The 24,619-nt window shown below is 40.1% G+C and overlaps 1 protein-coding gene across 16 annotated transcripts in view; it reads right to left on the bottom strand.

Annotated features, from left to right (window-relative positions):
- Window positions 1-24,619, bottom strand: part of ANKFN1 (ankyrin repeat and fibronectin type III domain containing 1) — a 470,940-nt gene that overhangs the window by 32,764 nt on the left and 413,557 nt on the right. For 15 of the 16 annotated variants that reach the window (XM_047435502.1, XM_017024263.2, XM_011524430.3 and 12 more), the window contains 4 exons: window positions 17,682-17,897; window positions 6,599-6,765; window positions 3,435-3,585; window positions 1,729-1,897 (listed from right to left, as the gene is read on the bottom strand). In XM_047435502.1, the coding sequence (XP_047291458.1) occupies window positions 1,729-1,897; window positions 3,435-3,585; window positions 6,599-6,765; window positions 17,682-17,897 (703 nt within the window). Of the gene's footprint in view, window positions 1-1,604; window positions 1,898-3,434; window positions 3,586-6,598; window positions 6,766-17,681; window positions 17,898-24,619 lie in introns of those variants that run through there. The other variant, NM_153228.3, reaches the window with a different exon arrangement.

Raw genomic sequence — 24,619 nt, 5'->3', positions numbered from 1 at the left:
TATTGCCCAATATGGCCCCACCTTGTCTGTACAGATTTACATCCCACCTTTTCCTCACATTTCTCTGATCTAGCCAAACTGGACCACTTGTTCTCTTCCCGATTCTTTCTGAATTCTTCTGTTCTCATGTTTTTGCTCATTCTACTCCCCCAACAAGAAAGGTTTTCTTTTTATTTATGTTTATTAACATCCTGTTTGTTCTTCAACACCCCACATCAGATACCCTTCCCTCCATGAAGGCTTTCTCATATCTTCTTTGAGAGAATGTGCTTTCTTTTTTTCAATATTAACACTTCCAATTTCTGGCATATTCTACCTTGTTTTGTAATAATTTGTATTCTCATTTTACTCCTGCCACCATAAGAAAGCCCCTTGAGGGAAGAACCTTTGTCTTACTCACCTCTAAATCTCCACAGTGGGCACCGAATAGACACTTATGGAAATACCCTGCCCCAAACAGTGTTGTTATATTACAGACTAAAAATGCTTTTTGGCTGAGGAACTCATTAAATGGTCACATTCACATCCAGGCCTCTTGGGAGTGGTATGGCCAATGTGATTAATTGTGTGACACAGAAAAGGTGTAGAAAGGTTAAGCAATTGCCAGTGTCACACAATAGGGAATCCAGGACTCTCAAGTCCCAGTCTACGAGTCTGATTTGAGCTTCTTGTAAGAACACTCCCTCCTCTAGAAAGTAACAATTGCTGTTCATCAGTTTTTGGGCATCTGAAGTGCTTGGACCAAGGAAAACTGAGAGGCTTAAGCATATCATCCTTGAGGGATAAATTCAGATGCAGTTGCCCAGGGCTCAAATGAGACATCAGGCAGTGGCCTTGTCTGCTTCTAAATCTGGTGGCTGGGGAGCAATCCAGAGAGGGTCTGCCTCCATTCCACCCACCCACTCACTCACCCTCCTGCAAATTGTACAATTCATTTGAACTGACCGAACTCTTGCTAATTGCCTCTTACTGGCCTGTTACAAGATGAAGCATGGGAAGGGGACAAAGCCTCCCTATTCACAATCTCAGTGGGCAGCAGGGGTCTCTGCAAAAGTAGAGAAACTGGAGCCCAGGCTATTCATTTTTGAAAGTCAGGACAAGATCTTCCACCATTCAGAATCCCACATTATAATCACAATATTGCATCCTGGGAGATCCTGTCCATTTCTCAAATGGTCTGTCAGAAATTTAGAGTCTATTTAATAAGTCAGTGCTACTTAAAATTGTAGGCTTTTTTCCCCTCCAAAGTGATATGCACTCTACATTTAAATTTCATTATTATTTTTTTCTCTGGTTGGGGATGTGGGGACGGTGAGAGAGAAAGGGAGGAAAGGAGAGAGAAAGGAAGTGGGGAGAGAGAGGGAAGGGGAAAAAGAGAGTGAGAGAGAGAGAGAAGGGGCAGTGCTTTTCATGAAAACATCGGTTTTTATATTTACGTTTTAAGAAAGCAGAAGGGAGGCAAGAAGTCCAGCCTGATAACTGAACTTTCTGTTTAGAATTCCTTCTTCTCCATTGGGCCTTTGCTAGGTTTCAATAATTATTGCTCAGGCACATAGTCTTGGAGCTTTGCTTTTTCTCAGACTTGTACACAGTTCTAGGAAGGGTTGTTGCCAAAGCCATCATGTGATTTATTGACCCTCCACTGGGACAAGGGGGAACAGATATAACTTTGTGATTTTATTATAAGGAGGCTGGGTTAATATTTCTAGGTGAAACAAGCTACTATACCAAGTTCAAACATCTGAAGAGGGAGGTTAAGAAACCCTGAGTGTGGGGTGTAAGGATTATTCTGTCCTGGGGCTGTACAGACGTCGTCTGAGGCAGGGAGCAGGAGAAGAAAGGACACATTGTGACCCATTTCCAACACCTCCTGTGTGTAGAGGCGGAAGTTCCTTGCCTGCAGAGGGACACGCGCGGAGGAAAAATAGGAGAGTTACAACATGGCACTTACATAAACAACACCAAACTGGCATAAAACATCTCACAAAATTACACAACTTCAAGCTTGGAATTTTTATACAACATAAATATTAGGGTTCAGCCCATTTAATAATGCTATATAAAATCAAGATTTAAGGCAGTAATGTTCCACATAAACTCTGAAAACAACATTTATGCTTCTTATAAAAGCAGAAAATGATTGCATTCTGTGGGCTTTTCAAAATGATGACTATAATTACATGAAGCAACAAAAATGGATTGAATTAAAAATCCACTAGTTTCAATTTAAGTTGGTTAAGGGGGAAAAACGTAGTTTCTGGCCAAGGACTGAGAAAATTTTACAAGTATCCAAAAAAAAAAAAAGTTGTATGCACTGTTAGGCAGTTAGGCAGCCTTCTCCCAACATGTATATGTAGCCCAAGAGTCACCAATGAAATATGAGCTGCTTCAAACCTGCTAAGTCCAAGAAACGCTTTAATAGTATCTAGTGTCACAAGTGGAGCTCTTACTTTTTTTTCTCCTAGTGAACACACGGCCACCTTTAGAATAATCCAGTTGCTTCTCTATTGTCTTTATGGCATCTTGTGCAATTTAGTCTTCATTAGCGTTGGCTGTTTTAGACTTAAAATCGAAAGAGCACCCCAATGGAAGGACATTCTTAGAACTCTAATTTATTCCCCTGCCTCCATGGGTTAGAGGCCAATTCATGGTTCTCTCTCGTATTTAAAGAGAGCCAGTCGCTCCTCTAATGGTCTCCCAGTTTACAGGCTAAACTTGGTTCATTATGTGTGTGTGTGTGCGTGTGTGTGTGTGTGTGTGTGTTTTGGGGAGGGAGGCAGGATTGATGAACATAGGTCCCCCCGCCAAAAAAATTAAATAATGCTACCTCATGTTAACCTATTGGGCAGAGCCTAAAAAAGTTTTACTATTCTCCTTTATGCCAACAGTTTTTCTTGAAGTTGCTTATTAGTGGAGGTTAGATTTGTACATTTTGATTTAGATACAACAATAATTTTGACAGAAAGTTCTCTGAGAAAAAATAGCATGGCATATCCTTGGGACATTGCTGTAGATTATACCACCGTTATCCTTCTATTCTTAGAGAAATCATTTGTACATGTGAGTACACCTTTATTTATATGTTCTCTTTGCTTTATGCTATCTTGAAGCTGAGCCTGGTTGTCTTTTAAGGTAGACTAGCCATTGATTTTTTTTTTTTTTTTTTTTTTGCTGACCAGACCATAGTACAGTGGGGTCCAGAAAATGTGAAAGAGGTCCAACACAGAGGAGCTGGAGGAAAGGAACAGAAGCGCAGGCTGTGTCTACCTGTGGGCATTAATTCAAAATGTGCATGCACTTGCAAAGTGGTGTTTAAGTAAAGGAAAATTTACACACACACACACACACACACACACACACACACCCCACTTAATGTTACAATGCAGTTTCCATGAGCCATAAAAAAAGAAGATAAAAATGGTAAAGTCTAGTACCTGGTGTAGAGGTATATTGATCTGCTGAAGGAGAGCTTTCACTGCCATCTGGAGCTCGTAGAAGAACAATTGCATGGGGCAGTCAGAAGTATGATCCACACTTTCCATAGATTCAGAGCCAGAAAGCTTTTGGATCCATTCCCATTCCTCTCTGTATGTTGAGTCAAGTTAAAATTAGAAATATAACAAAAGTTCAGAACACAGCTCAGAACTTTCTTAGTGTATGTGTCCAGAACCTGGATAACCAATGCTTGGTGGTTAAAACTCAGTGTAATTCATGAAATTTGAACATTTTGCCACCCAAATGGAGCTTAAAATGATCTCTTTCTAATTTCAGCTTAGTTCACCTATCAAACCACATATACCTCAGAACAGTAGGCCTAATTTGTATGAATCAGTTTTTGAGATTGGGGTTCTCAAATATTTTGTAATAATTTCCTGACTGTCTTCATTTTTCTTTCTCTGCAGATCCCCTGTAAATTCTAAGATCCTACGTTTTACCACAGGGGCATCTACTGGCTAATTCTGCAGTTTAGTAACCACAGGACTCTGGTCCAACTCAGCCAACAAACCACTTGGCACATTTCAACCCTGGCCTGTTGTAATCATGGGGGATATTTTGGTTTTTCTCTCCTTCCAAAAGCTTGAGGAGAATCACAAACAGGAATACCAGACAATTCCAATATAAGGAACCAAGGGATGCATATCACTGCTTCCATCCTCCTTACAAACCAGTAATCTGTGTCTTTATTCTGCATGCTCTATAATCCTTCCTAATGAACTTTTCCAAATGTCACACAGAAGGGAAGGGAAAAGAATGGCAGTGGGAGGAAAGCACATCTGGTTTGCCCCCAAAGGCTGCTCTTCAAAAGGAGCTTGAAAAGATCAAGGTAAATGCCTCTTGGGCAACATTGTTTCCACAGGTCTCTCAGCACAAGTCTCTAAACACATTCAGTTGGCCCAGATTCTCCTTCGAACTCTGCAGGGAGCAGCAGTAGGCTCTCAGGAGCAGGCTAGAGAGGAAAGGAAAGCCCTCCTCTCAGGGGATGGAAAGAGAGGAGGTGCTGACATATGTTCCCACCCTAGTGAAAACTCTCTGAGGCTTTCCCCAAAGGGCTCTACCAGGCTGGGCTCCAATCTGTGGGTCAGAAAACCAAATTGAATGTGGCATGAGCTTTTCATCAAAAACTACTCTCTTTTAACTAACTACCCTCTTAGAAAAGTTTCTGTTTTCAAGATATCTGTTTTATTTCAAGTATCACACTGGACAAGACTATGGAAAATTTACCCTTTGTCCCAGTAAGAAAAGAACAAAACCTCAAAATTAAATCCTACTTCAATCTGGGCATACTGTTGGCTTCACAAATAATTGAAATATTTGAGAACCTGCTTGGGAAATGTTTCTTTTTTCCCATCACTGATATGGAACAAAATGAGAGTTTTGTGACTAGCATATGCACGCATAAACCTAAAGGACAACGTGGCTAACATAGCGTTTGTAATCAAGTTAGAAAATAAATTACCGGTAGGAATATCGTAAAAACACCTACCACTAATCAGTTTCTGCTAGAAGGATGAAGGAGATGGAACTGACAGAGAAAAGGCTACTGGAATCTTTTGTACAAATGAAAACTGGATCCTTGGCAAGGGAAAATTAGTTGGTATAACCACTAGGAGATAGAGTTCAAGCCTTTAAGACACAAATCTAGAAAATGGATGAGTGTAATGTAACCTTTTGGGAAGGACTGAGGCGATAACGAATGTTGATTGTGGCAATGACCACCAGATGGCAGACTTAAAATCCAGGTGTAGTTGATAAGTGAAGAGAGAATATGGTAGTCAGTGAGTTCCCTCCTCCTCCTCATCATCATTTCCTCCATTGTCATCAAGCAATACTTAAGAAACCTAGTGAGACATTAGAGTTGATAAAGTCTTGCCACTTTAGGGGTCACATTTTAAATGACCAAATTAGAGTCTCCTTTGGCTAAGCAAATCCATGAGTGTAACTAGAATCTAGTTTATACTCTTTGGGAGTATCTAGTTTATGCCCTTTGAGGTCTGAAGAATTCTGGATAATTTCTTTCTTTTTTTTTTCTTGTCTATTCCTTCCTTTCCTTTTTTTCTTTTCTTCTCTTTCTTTTTTTATGTTGAGCACAATTCAGTTCATTATAGCAGACTTTCAGAGGCCTGCTATGAGGGTTGTAAAGTTGAGCCAGATTACCAAGATTGGGCAACTTTCCCAAAGCTAACAGGGTAATTCACCAAATGCCAAACTGTAGAGCAAGTTTCCAGAAGCTCGGGCCTTGTTACTTCTTTTCTTCCATAGAGAATTATAAGGGTTGTAGAAAACATACAAGGTCCTCAGGCCAGAGGGTTAGAGTTAGGGAGAATGAGGGTGAGGAGATTTTTTAAGATCGGGGGAATCATTGGCTCTATGAAACCCATTCCTGTAGGCGATATTTAAAAACAGAAAGCAAAAAGAACATGGCTGTTTTAGATTATAAAGAAAATATACTGGAAATAGCAGTGTTGAAAGAAAAGGTCAGCTGTTCATTAACCGATTGAACATCAGTGGTTTTACCATGAGTAACATAGAGGGGAATGTGAAAGGACAGTATCCTCTTTAATGGGCTCATGCCTTCCACCAACCATCAGGCAAGCCCTCCTTATTCTAATGTTAAAACTAAACTCTGGCCGGGCACGGTGGCTCATGCCTGTAATCCCAGCACTTTGGGAGGCTGAGGCAAATGGATCACCTGAGGTCAGCAGTTCGAGACCAGCCCGACCAACATGGTGAAACCCCATCTCTACTAAAAATACAAAGTTAGCTGGGCGTGGTGGTGCACACCTGTAATCCCAGCTACTTGGGAGGCTGAGGCAGAAGAATCATTTGAATCTGGGAAGCAGAGGTTGCAGTGAGCTGATATTGCGCCATTGTACTCCAGCCTGGGTAACAAGAGTGAAACTCCGTCTCAAAAAACAACAACAACAAAACAAAAAAAAACCCCAAAACTAAGCTCTGCCCCACTTCAGTGTGGCATCTGAGGACACCTCACCATAAAAACTGCCCTGGAAGTAACACTTCAGTTTCCTTCTGGCACATCAAGCTGGTCACTTGAGCCACTGTTTCATCACAAGGAAAATCTTAACTCCTGATCACTTACCTAGAAATATTATTGTTTTCACGGATCTTCACGTGGCAGAGAATGTTGGGCAACTTTTGGGTAACAAGAACTTTGATTTGATCCACAGAGCTACAGAGCTTTAGGTAACCCAGATATAATCCAGGAAAGAGACGCTGATGACTCCTTTTGTGATAGGATAGAATATCCTGTAGGGTTAAAAAAAAAAAAAAAAAGAAAACAAGAAAACAACTCGAAGGGCAATCTCAAAACCTTTTCCTTTCTAAGGAAGGCTTGTCATGAATGAAAGGAGCTGTCACTAAGTAATTAGGTGAGAAACCTCAGGTATACCATGAATGCTGGGGAAATAGTGGTACAGCTACTCTTACCTTCAGCAGAATTCTTGGCCAGGTAATCAGTTTTTAATATATTCTATATGCTTATTTGCCTAAGATTTCTGTGCCAGTGTAGGTGTGTGAGTTGTGTTTGGGAATAGGTGGTGGTGGAAGCAGCTAATAAAGAAAAATTGAGTTGATAATTTCTGTCCTTGAAGATTTTAATGTTTAGCTGGGAGAAAACAGATATTTGCAAGTGTAAAAGCTGACAGCACAGTTAAGGAAGCGTTGTAATTTCTGGATTGTTAAAATGGAAAAGTCGTTTAAGAAAAATGATTTAAAATAGAATCCAAATTTTATAGTAAGTAGGTTCCTTATCTTGAAAATTAAAAAGGTACTGCCAAGAGGTTTATTGAATTTTATGTTAACATTTAAGTTGTAGCTATAATTACGCACTAATTCTGAGAATGAAGAAAGAATGAATCAAGCACTGGTTATTTTTTGGCTTGATTTTTAAAATTAAATTGTATGATAGCTAAAATGATACTACTTATATTTGACTTTTACAATGCAACCACGAAGAAGATAATGTTTATAAAAGTATTTGAAGTCTTCACATTTTTTTCCAGGCATCTTTTAAAAAATGTTGATATTCAAGTCACACTCTTATGAAATCCTTGCTTGTGTTATGTTTTTCAAATCCTTAACTGGTCTACCACTTCTAGATTCTCAGTTGTCAGTGGCTTTGCATGTTATTTGATTAGGTCTCTACATCATCAGCTTCACTGAATTCTGTATCTTTTACAAGATTTTAAATTTTGCCCTGTAATGGATTTTCATTGAATTTGCATTATATTGTCACATCATAATATTCCAAAAGCAGCAGAGACTGAACAAAGCTGTTGATTCAATAGTAAGTGTCAACCAAGTTAAGTACAGGGATGTTTGAATGGAATCTTGTTTTTTGTGTGGTCAGTTCTCCAGTGAACTATTTGGGTTGTGACTTTTGATTCTCTATACAACTGCAGGGACTCAGATAACGAATAATTACAAAATTCAGATACCATCCCTCCACATCAGTAGGTAAAACTTTTACATTTGGGCAGTGGGGGTTGTGACACAAAGTTAGGAGTGACGAGTCAGGTAACTTATTAATATGGTTTGGATTTGTGTCCCCACCCAAATCTCATGTTCAATTGGCGGAGGGGCCTGGTGGGAGGTAACTGGGTCATGGGTGTGGATTTCCTCCTTGCTGTTCTCATGATAGTGAGTTCTCACAAGATCTGATGGTTTAAAAGTGTGTGGCACTTCCTGCCTCACTCTCTTTCTCCCGCTCTGCCATGGTAAGACGTGTTTGCTTCCCCTTCACTTTCTGCCGTGATTGTAAGTTTACTGAGGCCTCTCAGGCATACTTCCTGTTAAGCCTGCAGAGCTGTGATTCAATTAAACTTCCTCATAAATTATCCAGTCTCAAGTAGTTCTTTATAGCAGTGTGAAAATGGACTAATACACTTAGTATAGGAGAAAGTTTCCTGTAAGTAGGAGCATATCCTGGTTTTCAAAAAAACAAGGGTTAAACAACTAAGAGAGTAAAGTTCAGGTGCCTTACCACAAAGAAATGATAAGTAAGTGAGGTGATGGATATGTTAATTAGCTTGATTCAGTCATTCTACATTGTATACATATATCAAAACATCACTTTGTACCCCACAACTATATCCAAATATAACTTGTCAATTAAAATAATACTAATGAAAATATTTAAAAGGGTAAGGTAAAGGGAATCAACTCTACCATTAAATTCAGGGAAGGTGAGAAAACAAACATTGAAATGTCTATAGAATTCTATATGGAATGGAAAAGTATGGGATCTTCCTTGACCATCATACTCTAGAGGAGTGATCTTTCCTCTGTAGAATTAACCATCTGCAACATCTAGCAGATGTTATTGTACATTGTCTCCTCTGTCTCATCCTTTATCAAACACATATTGAGTCCCTATAATGTGTCAGGCACCATGTGAGACATTGGGGTTTCAGATGAATATGATGTCATCCCTACTTTTGAGGAGGTCAAAAAGGAGAAGTAAACAGATGATCACAATATATTGAAATCAGTTTTATAATAGAGGCAGTGTAGGCTTACAGCAGAAGGAGTACTTATATTTTTCTTTCGTGTTATTTTCTTGAACTAAACTGTGAAATTAATGGTAAGGCTATGTTTTTCATTGCTTTGTGTCCTTAGTACCCAGTACTTTTCTGTATAAAATAGGTACACAACATGTGGAAAATTAGGACAGATGCCTTAAACAGAACATAAGGGAATAGTAGAAGAGGGATAGAATAAGAATGGTCACAACTGGGAGAAACATCTAATGAGCATGTGCAGAAAAGCAAAATCTAAACAATTTTTTAAAAGATCACTTGGCCAAAAGAATAGGCTAGAAAAAAAATTTGATCTCATGATCAAGAAGCAATTATTATTAATATCAGGATGGATAAGGCTGAACTTTTTAATGTCTTCTATCCTGTCTCTTCAGCCTAGATCACAAGTAAGTAGTTGACTACAATAAATTCAGTCAAGGTGGAATTTGGGAAATGAACACTAATCAAAGGAAGAGAAATTGTTAATGAGGGAAGGAAAAATGGAAGTATTCAAATTCACTGAATTTGATGATATGCACCTTGGGATACTTGCTAGACAAACAGATGTGGCTACAGACTCACAGGTCATTACTTTTGAGAAGTCATGGAGAACTGGAGAAGTCCCTAAAGACCAGAAAAGGACAAATATGGCTGTCTTTGAAACAGGAAGGGGAGAAACACGGAACGACCCTAGTAATTAAAGACCACCAACTTATTGATCTTTAGGAAAAATGAGAAAGAACCATCAAACAATCAATTTGCAGTCATCCAGGAAATCTTGAGACACTGAAGAGGAGTCAACATGGTTCTGTGAGAGCAAATCATACAGATTACCTTAATTTATTATAGCAATAGAACAAGACCAGAGAGAAGTCTCCAGTATAATCTGTTTCACTGTATAACCTCAGAAAAGTAGAATCTGGACTACGTTGCTTTTAACAAGCTGAATATCTGGGTGGAAGATTTGTAGATAATGGAGATGGTGAATAAATAGTAGACATATTGAGTGATGGTCCAGTAGGGATTGGTCCTGAGGACCAGTCTGTTCAGCTTATTTATTGACATTCTGGACAAAGAAATCAAGAATGTGTGCATCAAATTTGTGGGTCCCAAATTTGGTATGGTTTTGCTTTTCTGGAAAACAGTAATAAAGTTCTAAATGACCCTATGCATTGAAAAAATAAGGCTATGATAATTACGGTTGAAACTTAATATGAAAATGTGCTTATAAAGACCTACATCCAAGAATACAAATATAGGATAGGTAAGAGTATCACAGAAAAACATGTGGGGGTCAGAACTGACCACAAATAGAATGTGAGCTAGGAGTACACTGTGATTATATAAAAACCAACAGCATTCTGGGATGGAGTAACTCACTCTTTCATTCAATTTTTTAAGACTATTACTGAGCATCTACTCTGTGTTTTCTTGCCTTTATGTAGTCATTTTTTCCTCTTTAAAATGTTTTGGAGCCTGAGAAATGTGTGGGAATGGAAAGAAGCTGTCTCATCCACATAATCCATGATACACTAGAAAAGCCATCTTTTTTTTTTTTTTTTTTTTTTTTGAGACGGAGTCTCACTTTGTCGCCTAGGCTGGAGTGTGGTGGCTCGATTCTCTGTCTCCTGGGTTCAAGCGATTCTCCTGCCTCAGCTTCCCGAGTAGCTGGGATTACAGGCGTGCACCACCATGCCCACCCAATTTTGGTATTTTTAGTAAAGATGGGGTTTCGCCATGTTGCCTAGGCTGGTCTTGAACTCCTGAGCTCAGGTGATCTACCTGCCTCAGCCTCCCAAAGTGCTGGGATTATAGGTGTGAGCCACTGCACCCAGCCTAAAAAGGCCTTCTAACACCAAATTGAATGCCTGTGATTCTACATATTACCTGATTTGACCTCTAATCTGCTTTTCCAACCTCCATTTCCACTATAGCCCTTTTGTGTTCCTTATCTCTAGCCAAAATGGATTGTTTTTTCTTTCCCCATACATGCCCTAGTCTCACTGTTTTGATTGTTGTTTCACAAATTCACTCATTTTACCAACTTTTACTGAGCACTTACTATGTATCAGTCTTGTGGCTAGGATATTGATGACATCGAGATGAATAAAACATGATCCTTCCCTTCATGGAACTCACATTTCAGTGTGAGAGAATCATGTAAGCAAGTTTTTCTCACCCAACATCATAGAGGCCATAAGAAGACTGTGTAAGGCCTATTGTGGGCCTAAGGGAGGGTGAAATCCACTCTTCCAGTTTCTGCCTCATTTCTTTATCATGCTCTCAATTTAATTCCATCTATTTAATTCCTTCTTTCTTCTCTCCTTTATTTTGTTCTTTCTCTCTCTTTCTTTTTTTCCACCTGGTTAACTTAACTACCCTCATGGCTCAGCCAAATGCCATCTCTTCTGCAATGCCTTCCCTGATATTTTCAGGCAGAATTAATAGCTGCTTTGTCTGTGTTCCCCATAGTACACTGTTTGTACTGCTATCAGGCTCTGGTTTAATTCTGTCTTGTATTACCTTGATTTGTTTACAAATCTGTCTGTCTTCGTTTGACTGAATTCCTTAAAAGTAGGGACCTTGACTTATTCATTTGTTTTTTTCTGTAGCACCTAGAAGAGTGTCTGGTACCTAGTTGACACTGAAAAAATTATTCATTAAATATGAAGTGAGAAGATCAGAGGAGGTGGGGTCTGGGGCTGGTCTTCAGGGAGAAAATATGCTGTGCTTGCACAGTGACTAGGAAGGGTATATCCACCTTCTCGTCATTGATCAGAGATCCTGAGAGCTTGTTAGAGGAACAATAGGTAGTTGCTTTTTCAATAACTACAGCACTTTTATTTTGTTGGATGGAGTATGAAAACTCAACCATCCATGATGGTAGAGGTGACAAAATGGTGGCTAGTGGTCTTTGTAGGTCCAAGATTATATGGACTGCAAATAATTTAGTTTTCTGAATTATTTTCTAAATTATAAAAATAAAAAGACTTTACCAAAATTTTTGATTTTCAACTTCTCTTCAAAACACTGAAAATATTTCAAGACTGGGACCACATTCTTCCACTGTAATTAGCTGAGGCTGAATCGGAGCTGCTGTCTTTAAAGGGGACAAGATTAATGTAGTCTCTTTTACTTACACTTGTTTCTTTTTATTTTAATTGAGTTATAACTCATATACCATAAAATTCACCCTGTTCAAGTATGTAATTCAGTGGTTTTAGCGTATTCACTTGGTTGTGCAACTATCACCAGTGTCTAATGCCAGACCATTTTCATCATTTTAGAAAGAAACCACACATTCATTAGCTGTCATTCCCCTATCTCTCCGCCTGCTGTTCCTGAAACCACTAATCTACTTTCTGTCTGCATGGATTTGCCTATTCTGGGCATAGCATATAAGTGGAATCATACAACATTTAGCACTTTGTGTCTGGCTTCTTTCACTCAGCATTACATTTTCAAGGTTCATCCAAGTCGTAGCATGGATCATATGTGATTCATTTTAATGGCTGAATAATATTCCATTATATGGATATACCACATTTTGTTTACCCATTCGTCAGTTGTTTGCCATCTAGTTTACTTCTACTGTTTGGCTATTGTGAATAATGCTTCTATGAACATTGGTGAACAAGTTTTTACATGAACCCAATTGTTTCCTAAGTCCAGCCCAATTGCCTCATTTCCAGCAATCTTTCTGATTCCTGTAGTTTTTGATCCTTGTGTTTGGAGCTGCTTGGGGGTAGAAAGAGTAGGAATGTGCTGGAAAAAAAGCAGAAAAGGGAAGAAGAGGTCCTGGGCACCTAGGGTGTAAGAAGAAGACACTGAATACCTAGAGGTGATAAGGAATGCCTAAGCAGAAGAAAAGGAAAGCAGGGAAGAGAAGGAACAGAAGACATCCTTCGCCACAGCTTCCCTAGGATCACAAAGGATGCAGAGAAAAGCAGGGGTGGGGGCGGGGAGGAAGGTGTGTACAGCAGCATGGTGAAATGGGAAGGCCATCAGCCTAGGAGTCAGAAGTTGTGGGTTTGGTCCCTCTTCTAGTTGATATGACTTGACAAGGTACTTCCTTGAAATTCACGGCTTCTTCTGCAAACTGGACACAAAACGACTCACTCATCCTCTTTGGGTTTGCATGAGGATCAAATGATATCATAGATGTGACAAAGTGTTGGAAAGTTGAATATATAGTACACATGTGAGAGATTAAGCTTCAGGAAAAAGCTTGCATGTGAGGCTTCTAGGGACTGAAGTGATCCCTGAAGAGAATGGTCGGAGCAACTTAGCACCTGAGAGGGGCCTTTCTGTTGGAAATACTCTCATTGCCAATTACTTTGCTCATAGGGACTCTTGTCCACAATAACTCTCTTTTCCTTCCCAGGCAAGGGTGAGGAGGATTTTTTGCTCTTTCACAGATAAATGAGAGAGGCCTCTTTTGAAGGCCTGGGATTTGAGAAGGTCAGGAATTTGAGGGAGTTGGACACTGGAGTTTCCCTGGGGCCCTAGGGATTCGTAGATTATTTATGGGCCCAGATTTTGTTAAAGCCCTATCTGTTTTGAAAACCCCGTCGTGGATCATAACTTTTGTACAGCTTTTCCTTAGTTGTGATGGAAAGGTAGAAAACATGAAAAAATGCCCCACAGAATGATTAGGCCATTACCAGAGGTCTCTGTGGACTGGGTGTGTCCTGAGGGCAGCCTAGCATTGCTTAAAATTTTCTGAGACATGAATGGTGATTATTATTAATACAAATTCAAGAAACAACAGATGCTGGCAAGGCTGCAGAGAAATAGGAAAGCTTTTACAGTGTTGGTGGAAATGTAAATTAGTTCAATAATGTGGCAGATGGTGTGGCAATTCCTCAAAGACCTAGAATCAGAAATACTATTTGACCCAGCAATCCCATTACTGGGTATATACCCAAAAGAATATAAATCATTCTATTATAAAGACATGTGCACACGTATGTTCACTGCAGCATTATTTCCCATAGCAAAGACATGGAATCAACTCAAATGCCCATCAATGATAGACTGGATAAAGAAAATGTGGTGCATATACACCATGGAATACTATGCAGCCATAAGAAGGAATGAGATCATGTCCTTTGCGGGGACATGGATGGAGCTGGAAGCTACTATCCTCAGCAAACTAATGCAGGAACAGAAAACCAAACACTATGTGTTCTCACTTATAAGTGAGAGCTGAACAATGAGAACACATGGACACAGGGAGGGGAACAACCTACATTGGGGCCTGTTGGTAGGGGCAAGGGGAGGGAGAGCATCAGGAAAAATAGCTAATGCATGCTGGGCTTAATATCTAGGTGATGGATTGATAGGTGCAGCAGATCACCATGGCACACCAATGTAACAAACCTGCACATCCTGCACTTGTACCCTGGAACTTAAAGTAAAATAAAAATAAAAAGAAAAAAAATTTTCTGAGACATAATAAAAATCACTAATATTTATTGAGCACTACTTTGTGCTACTCTTTTAATCATGTATGTACTAACTCACCTATCTTCATTAGAACCCTATGAAGTAGGTTTTTTGCAGAGGAGGAACTGTGAGGGATGAGAAGTTAAATAATGCCCTGGACACATAACCAGAAAGGGTGGAGTCGGTATTCACACCCAGTCATCCTGATTTCAAAGTGGTGCACAGAATGTGATGTGATGTAGCAGACAGAAGCCCAGGCTTCCAATGAGAAGGCCTGGTGGTCATCACTCCACCACCCCTGAGAAAAGAGAGTGGTCTGTGGCCTGTTATTGTGGGAATTACCAGCCTGCTTTGGGTACCACCAAGACCTATCTCTCCCTTTATGTTGAGTTGGTGGGGCCAACTCCTGATATAATTAAATCTTAAGTCTAGGAGGGATTGGATACCAGCCCTCATAGTTTTATTCCCCATTTCCTCTCTAGTGTGAGACTTGTATGGGAAGGAGGGGAGAGAGAAGAAGTAGGGGGAGGAGAAGGGAGAGTGGGGGTGGGTGGGAATGACATCAGGTGGGAATGTGCCAGTCAGCGGGGGTAAATTTTCCACTTGGATCTGTGTGGAAACCCGATCCTGCCTCTATTTTTGGTTTCCTTCTCTAACAACCTTTCACCAGATTGGAATTTTTCTGCACCTGTAACACATTTTTAATGTAATAAGTCTAGGAGAAACCAGGTATTATATCATGTTGAGGCCTGTGCTGTGTTTCTAGGAGCAAAGGTAGCCCAGACCCTAGTTTATCCCTATAGGGGATTAGTGTATTAGTCACCCTGTAAAAGCTCAATTTATTATGATTTTTTAAATGTTTCTTTTAGCACTTGCTTATAAAAGGTGAAGAGGGGAGCCTCAAATGTGTCTGTGTTCCCTGCCCCCACCTCCTTCACACAAGCACATACTCTCTGTCAATTCCCTATGAACCCAAATTCCACAAAATTAAATCCAGAGGTATTGGCTTTGACCAATTAGCTTACCTTTGCTTCATTGGCCTTTGTCCTGGTTTGGGCCGGTGCAAGTAATGAAAAAATGAGATTATTGTACTTGCCACCCCTTGGCGGGGAATGAAAGTAACTTAGAAAGTAAGTTAGCCGTTTAGGGTGACCACAGATGGCTCCCAGGACGGAAGGTCAGATTTGGGTTGTTTCTGTGCAACTGGGTCCTTCCTTCTCTCTGTGGCTGTCTGTGGATATGCTACTGCTTGCAGGGGGCTCAGTGTAGATGTTTCTGCCAGCTTTTCTACCTAACCTAAGTGTCCTATACAATTCATCCCTATCACTGGATTAAAAAAAAAACAGAGAAAGAAAAAAAGAAACAGTTTGAAGCCCATGTTCACAAAAGAATGTGTGAGGCAGAGAGAGCGTGCTGGACTCAGGAGCATACATGGGTTGGTGTCCCAATTCCACCATCCAGGCCAAGGGCTGCATCTGAGCTACCTGGATTTTGAATTTTGGTGGCTATTCAGTATTCAAGTAAGTCTTTTATCCTTTATTTCATTTCCTGTCCCCCACTCACTAAAATCCTGACTTCTACCTCAAAATATGACATAATGTAGCAGAAAGAAGCCTGATTTGCAATCAGAAGATCTGAACTGAAGCCTCAGCTCTGTCATTTTCTAGCTGTGTGCCAAGGGACAAAATCAAGTTTTGTGGAGACTCAAGTGGATATAGTTTCTGGTGTCTTTTTTAAGGAAAACAACACAAAGTTATGAAAGCAAAGCTGCTAGGGTCCCTGCAAGGACATAGAAGAGGCTTGTACAAGTGAAGGCTGAAGGACATCAAAGCTTCATTAGCTTCACTAAATTGCCTCTGTGTGTAGCTCTATGTCATTTAACCTCTTTGAGCTCTAGTTCTTTCTTTCTTTCCCTTTTTCTTTCTTTCTTTCTTTCTTTCTTTCTTTCTTTCTTTCTTTCTTTCTTTCTTTCTTTCTTCTTTCTTTCTTTCTTTCTTTCTTTCTTTCTTTCTTTCTTTCTTTCTTTGTTTCTTTCTTTCTCTCTTTCTTTCTTTCTCTCTCTTTCTTTTCTTTTCTTTCTTTTTTTTTTTTTTAAGATGGATTCTCACTCCGTCACCCAGGCTGGAGTGCAGTAGCGTGATCTCGGCTCACTGCAACCTCCACCTCCCTGGTTCAAGCAATTCTGCCTCAGCCTCCTGAGTAGCCGGGATTAGAGGTGGCTGCCATCACAACTGGCTAATTTTTGTATTTCTAGTAAAGATGGGGTTTCACCATGTTGGCCAGGTTGGTCTTGAACCCCTGACCTCAGGTGACCTGCCTGCCTTGGCCTCCCAAAGTGCTACGATTACAGGTGTGAGCCACTGCGCCCAGCCTCTAGTTATTTCATTCCTAAAATGGACTTAATCATGCCTGTCTGTCCCAAGGGAGTATCGTAAGGAACATGCAGGAGTAAATATGTGTGAGAGTGTTTTTGTACATACACACCCATGTACACACACTCAAATACACACACATGCACACATATATATACAATTTAGAAATGTATTGTCATTACAGTTCATTCAGATATTGGTTTAATGTTTTGATTATACTATCTAGAGATTCCCTATCCCCTACTCAATTATTGGTCTCAATGTTTGTTTTCTTTTCTTTTTGAGACAGAGTCTTACTCTGTTGTCCAGGCTGGAGGGCAGTCGCACAATCTTGGCTCACTGCAACCCGCCTCCCAGGTTCCAGCGATTCTCCCCGCCTCAGCCCCCCAAGCAGCTGAGATTATAAGTGTGCACCACATACCCAGCTATTTATTTATTTATTTTTTTGTATTTTTAGTAGAGATGGGGTTTCACCATGTTGGCCAGGCTGGTCTTGAACTCCTGACCTCAAGTGATCTACCCACCTTGGTCCCAAAGTGTTGGGATTACAGGCATGAGCCACTGCGCCTGGCCTCAATGTTTCTTACTGGCTCATTGGCCAGGGCATGAAAATGCTTTATTAGGTGCCCACTATTTGTATGAATGAATTCCACATCTAGGGAGTGATAAATAAAAAATAAGCTTCTGCATTTGCAACAACATATCTCTGGACCCTCTCCACTCCATCACTGCATATGTAAATGGCTCTTGCAATATTTCACTAGACCTTCAATAATTGGGTTTGGAACCTTAAGTATACCCGGGAATTAAGAAAAAAACTACATACCTGGATGGTTATCAGTAGAATGTCTAAAGCTGTTGGCTCCTCAGGTGTTGATAGAGACTTTCTCTGGCTTTGCAGCTTTGAGATCTGCATCCATTTGCCATTAAAAAATGAATAAAGCATCTCCACCTCCCTGATGGTGACTATGAGTATGTTTCCATGTCGATCTTTAATGGGCTCATAGTAAACTCTTCCCAAGTTGTGTGTCCCAAGTAAATTCTGGAAACAAATGGATTACCGGTAGCATAGAGGGTATTATGCTAACAAAGCAACACAACGGCAACAAAAGACACCGTGAATAATAATCTGATTTCTGAGAAGCTGTTTGCTCTCTTTTTTTTTTTTGCACTTAAACCTAGAATATATGGCATCATAGACATGTACTTCACAGAAGCTCAAAGGTCTTTACAAGGCATTTGTAAAGATTGCAGAGCCTGCAAAGATTACAGCAAGATGCATAAAAATTATGTTTTTTTAAAAAGGCAAATTCAGTATCTGTACATATTTCTTACCCACATAGGCACACCAGTACATAAACCTCAGTTACCAGCACTTGAAGAGAATCCCAGATGTTTTAAAGAAAAATGTCTGATATTTAAAGTATGCTTCTGTGGAGTTCTCAGGAGATCTGCAGTAAGCTGGTATGAGGTGGGGTTGTTTAAAATGAAGAAGTGAATTGACAATGTAGCACATTGTACAGGTCCCCAAATGACTGCACATTCCCTTCAAGATACTTTAATTGGGAAATTGGCCTGATTCGACTTATCTGCATTTCAGGGGCTTCTGTTTATTTAAAAATCTGTTAAAATTGCTTATAAACTGGGTCAACTGAGGCAGACAATGCTTTTAGGAAGGTAGGAAGGGAAAGATGCCACACTCAATATGGAGGGGCTCAGGTAGTTATTCCTAAAATAAACAGGAGTTTTACAAATATGCAGGGTTTGAAGATTTCTAAGCTAGAACACTGGATGAATAGGATAAAATCCCCTCTAGCTTTAAATATCTGTGATTTCTAAACATTATAAATCATCCTAGAGCTCCTAGCTGTTACTTTTGTGAGCTCACATAAGAGGTGGTGAGATGCCCTGTTAGCATGAATACAGAAATAGAACTGGGATTTGTAAAAGTGACAAGGATGACCTAAAAATGAATGAGCCAGGAAGTCAACATCTACATCTATGAAAACCCCGGAATTTTCCCTCACAGGTAGGGACTGCGGCCGAAACCTTATCTTCTTCCTTACAAAGACCAGACATAGGACAAATAAGGAATTTCATAAATAATTTTTGACATAAAAATTCATTTGGCAAGATTATGATTTTTTTGCGATGGCCTAATCACTCAGTCATATTTTTTCTTTCCAATATTTGACTTCTAAATCATAGAGAAGTGGGTGTGGCTTTTAGTCCAGCCCTGTGGGGTACTAATAAGCAGTGTGATGCTGGTAAACTGGCTAGTGAAAAAGGAAAAAAAAGGAAGAAAAGAAAAGAAAGCCCTGATTTGTAGCATATGCCGGTTTCTGTGGTGTAAATACTCTTGCTGTAGTGGGATTTCAAACTACCCAGAGTTTGACAACAGGCTTTCAAAATCCCCGAATATTTAACAGTTGGCTCTCTCGGGCCAGTACAGGTTGGCTCCAGCCTACCATTGCTATTAAACCTTTACTTATATTTGGTATTGAATTTCAGGGTTGGCTACCATTTATTAACTGTTGGACTTCTGAAAAAATTATTTACCCTCTCTGGTCCTGAGTATCATCATCTAAAAGTAAGAGTCTTTACAGCTCAGACAGCTGTTATGCTAATCTTTACCTCAGTGAATGTTTGAGGGATTAAATCAAGCAACTCATGAAAAAGTATTTTGTAAACCCTCAAGCTCGATGCAATGTAGGGTGGGGGCTTTCTTTACTGCTCTAATTGGAATCCCACCCAGGCTTACATCTACTCCTTTTCAAGACCCATCCCAGATTTCACCTCCCCTGGGAAGACTTTTCCAACTCTCTAAGGAAGACTTTACCATCCCTCTTTTTTCCCTTACTGTTTCCTCTACAAACTTCCATCTTAGCATGTCTCTGGCTTTACTGCATGTATTGGTGTATGAGTTCACGTTATGAATTCATAGTTGTTTCATCTTTGTGTCTCTGTGTCCCTTGCACAGTGCCTGCCCATGGAAAGGACTCAGCCACTTTTCGTTGACTTAATTAACATATTGTATTATCATTAAGACGCCGGAAAATGTGATTCACTTTGGACCAAAGCTGATGGGTAGACATTGACTACGGTGGTCTTTTCACTTAAACAAAGTTATTATCAGTGGTTCACTATCAGCTGTAGATAGGTTTTCTAAGGGGTTGAATAAGAAAGCACTGTAAGTCTTCTTGAAATTTTTTATTGACATCAAATTAGGTTGGATAGCTAGCTTTGAGGAGAGCCCAATTTAAAAGTAGAATATTATTGTGAAAATAAATTGGAACCATCTTCCATGAGGGAGAATTCAAGGTTCTTTAGGGCCTAAAGCAAAAATAGACCATGTTAATACCTGTCATAATCAAGGTTAGGTGATCTAGGGCTCCTGATGATCCTATAAGAGCCACCTGATGGCTAACAGGAATGCATCTAGGTTATAACCAGGACAAATCACAGGGCTGTCAATAAGCCCTAGGCAGAGGCACAATATTTAGAGGTCTTTATTCAGTTTGGGGTGATGTGGACATGGGAAGGTGAAGGAAGTCCAGAGTTGGGATAAGGAGGCCTGAAAAAGAAGAGCAAAATTTTGGGAAAATCTTTTCTCCCCTTAACAAATGTAAAGAACACGGTATTCATATATTGTTACTTAGCTCTTACTCACTAACACTCATTTCTAAAAGCTATGGAGGAGGAAAGTTTAGCACAATCTGCAGTGTCAGATTTTTACTGTTTTGGGGGGATAAGTAGCTTAGACACCTTTCAATGTAAGAGCAATGTACACTTCTCCCTCTTTGGGCCCTCTGACATTTTCCTAAGAGAAAGAAAAACAATGTGGGCTTTTGGTCACTTACAGGATTTCTCATCTTAATTTTTTTTCCCACATGCTGAGATACTTATCTCTCCTCTGGCCTAGGAAATTTTAATTAAGAATAGACTTCTTTTTCTTTTTTACTATAATATGAATAATTTTTTCTCTTTAAAATTTTGTCTGCTTTTTTTGTAAATTACTACACAGTAAGATGATGAAGTACTGGAAAGGAAGCAGGCTTTGGAGTTAAATAAATCTGGATTTGAATCTAGAATCTGCTACTTCCTATCTATGTAACCTTGGGCACAAATGAGCATTTCTAGGCCCTAGTGTTATGATCTGTTAAAAGAATACCATAATAGTACTTTCTCATTAGGTTGTGGCAAAGATTAAATGACAGTAAAGTTTGTAAAGCACTCAACACAGTGCCTGGCACCTAGTCTGTTAAATAAATGAAAGTAGTCACTTCACGGTTACTATTTACTATTATATATTAAAGGAGCTCACTAGAGAGCAGAAACCCAGAAAACAAGGTGCAAATTGCACAGTGCTTGATATGCACTGTGATAAAGGTAGGTCCCCTGACTTGGACACAGTGACTAAGCCCAGTGACTATGAGCGCAGATGAGGGGGAGAAAGATCATGATTGAGGCCTTTGTGAGCCGTGATAAAATGTCTGAGCCACAGCTGGAAGAGTCTAAGTCAGAGAATGCCTTGGTCAGAATCTTTTAGATTGGCTACTCTGGCCAAAGTATGGAAAGTGGATTGGAGGCTGTCAAGACTGGTAGCAGAGGGATGACTTTGGAGGCTTTTGACCAAATTGGAGTAATCAGGCAGTAGTATACAAAACTGGAAAGGAGAGGAGAGTTAAATGAGATGCACCAGAGGAAAATCAATAGAATTTATTTATGGTTGATGCCAATCAAACTATGTATAATGCATTTTTACTTTCCTCAGAACATTGTTATTTTATTTTATTTTTTTGTGAGACAGAGTTTCACCCTTGTTGCCCAGGCTGGAGTGCAATGGTGCGATCTCAGCTCACCACAACCTCCGCCTCCTGGGTTCAAGTGATTCTCCTGCCTTAGCCTCCCGAGCAGCAGGGATTATAGGCATGCGCCACCACGCCCAGCTAATTTTGTATTTTTAGTAGAGACGGGGTTTGTCCGTGTTGGTCAGGCTGGTCTCGAACTCCCGACCACAGGTGATCTGCCCGCCTTGGCCTCCCAAAATGCTGGGATTGCAAGCGTGAGCCACCGCGCCTGGCCACATTGTAAAATATTTTAAATTAGTAGAGTGATCTAACATATTAACTATGTGTCAATCCTCAAATTTCTTTTTCTTTCCCTTCAGAAAAGTTTTTCTATAACTTACGCCTCCCTTCCACCGCTCTTACCTCCCTCACCAACAAAAGGTGCCTTCAGTATTTCCAGACATCTTCGCTGTACAGACTAGTAAATAGTTTGGGCAATAGGTCCTACCAAAAAAAGTGATGAAAGCAACTTTTATCATTGAACTAGGCATAAAGAAACTTAGAGAGAAGGGCATGCATACAGCACTCAGGCCTTGATGGGGGCACTGTGAAGGTGACCATTTATTGAAGACTATGAGGCTCTCCGGTCACGGTGCAGGACCGGAGAGCTATCCATCCAGGTGGTAACTATGCTACAAAACTACAAAACATTTCTGTGATCCCTTTTCCCTTTGGCTAGATAAAGTTTCCCTCAAGTGTGATCACTGGGGTACATGGGTTTGGATTGACAGATATATTTATTTATCCAACTTGTACTTACTGAGTGTCTACCACATTCCAGGCATTGGGGATATAGTGGTAGCCAAGACAGACACATTCCCTGAACTGAGGAACTCACAGTCCAAGTGGGGCACTAAACAGATAATAATACAAGTAATAAACTCTGGGATTCTGATCACTTTCCTGAATGAAGAATACAAGGTGCTATGAGAGTGATTCACTTAATCAAGGGATCAGAGAAAGGCTCTTTAAGGAAGTATAAAAGTTAAGCTGAGACCTGGAGGATATATAGGAATTAGTAAGGCAAAGTGAGGAAAGAAGGGGATTCTAAGCAAAGGAAACAGCTTGAAAACTAGCAAAGGATACGGAGAAAGACCAGCAAGTTGGAAGAAAATCGGAACAGTGTGAAATTGTGGAAGCCAAGGGATATGCCAATCTCCAAAAGGAGTATGGAACCAAGTGTATAAAATGTTGCTTAGTGAAACCAAAGTCATTGGCATGACTAGATCTAGGTTTTGTGGGTGCCTGAACTATACAATTTTGAGGCACTCTTTAAGACAGAGAACACAGAATTTCAAAAATAAGACTAGGTATAAAAGTGAATCTTTATCCAGAAGGATAAAAGAAATTTCCTTCTCTCCAGCAAATACTAGACTGTTTGGAATTTTGGGTCCCCTTTCCTCCAGAAATTTCTTTAGAAAGTTTGCGAGAAATGCTTCCTGACTGCAATCCAGCTTCCCTTCCCTAAAACACTGTGGGTTCCACACTTACAGGGGTCCCACACTCATAGCTCATGCAAGTGAGGGGTCCTGAAGCTCCAGCTTTGGCAGCATCATCTGCTTCTGGTTTCTGGTGCCCTTAAAGAGCAGTTTTGTATGCATCATGGTAGCAAAAGTCAGAGAGAGGTTTGAGAACTGGTAGGAAATGGAGATGTCAGTGGAGAAAGGGGATGTAGGTAACTCTTCCAAGAAGTTTGGGTGTAAGGAAGAGAATAGTTTGGTAGCTGAAGGGGCATGTGGGGCTATGAGAGGAATTTAGGGGGAGATTTAACTGGAAAGACTTGAGTATTTTAAAATAAAAATGAGAGGGAAGAGATGGGACCCAGAGCACATGTGGAGGAATGAACTTATGGTAGGAAATGTGAGACTTTACCTTCTGAAATAAAAAGAAAAAAAAAAAGAAGGTTCGGTCTGTGCAAGGAGGTTTATAAATTTGGCAGAAAAAATCATTAATTTCCATTTTTTTCCTTGATGAATTATACAGTGAAATCATCACCTGAGATGTGAAGGAGAGTGTGGGGAAGGAGAGTGTGGGGAAGGAGAAGGGATGTGGGAGAATGAAGAAGGTTTTATTTTATTTTATTTTATTTTATTTTTAGACAAGGTCTTACTCTTTCACCCAGGCTGGAGTGCAGGGACACGATCTCAGCTCACTGCAACCTCTGCCTCCCAGGCTTAAGTGATCCTCCCACGTCAGACTCCTGAGTAGCCAGTACTGCAGATGTGCACCACCACATCCAGCTAATTTTTGTATTTTTGGTAGAGATGGGGTTTTGCCATGTTGCTCAGCTGGTCTGAAACTCCTAAGCTCAAGTGATCCACCTGCCAGCCTCCCAAAGTGCTGGGGAGAAGGTTTTAAAATAGTTGCTTTACAGTGTGAGAAAGCAAATTTAGTAGAGAAAGGAAATTGGACCACTAACATTACGTGTGAGAATTGTAGTCATGAATTTAACATAAAACCAGTCAGCCCTTTTTTGTGATTTTTTTTTTTTATGTGGCAATGTGTAACTACTTTAGACATGTTGGATTCATCCAGGCGTGGGATTTTTCCAAATAAATAATATGAAGGAGAAAATGGAATATTTTCAAGGAAGTGATTAAGATGGGCTAAGGAATCTAAGCTGGTCAAGGAAGGAAATGACTTCAGAAGTGGGCTGATGCATTATGAAAAGTGGTGAGGTCTATAGATTTGGAAGCTGAGGAAGTCCAAAAGTATTGTAATGGGAGTAGTTGAGTAGGGTCACACTGGCCATCATTGCATCACTCAGCGTCTGACTGCACTGACTTGTAACAGCCTGATCCTTCTCACATTGCTGATATCAGATGAAAGTTCTAAGAAACCTCCAATAAACACATAATAAAGAGCCCCCCTTGAAATTCTAAGGTTTTTCAGTCTGTGATCCAGGCATGTCTGG

Source organism: Homo sapiens, chromosome 17 (assembly GCF_000001405.40).
Source record: "Homo sapiens chromosome 17, GRCh38.p14 Primary Assembly".
NCBI classification, from domain to species: Eukaryota; Metazoa; Chordata; class Mammalia; order Primates; family Hominidae; genus Homo; species Homo sapiens.
The sequence above is the reverse complement of the archived record's forward strand: the minus strand, read 5'-3'. Positions and strand labels throughout refer to the sequence as shown.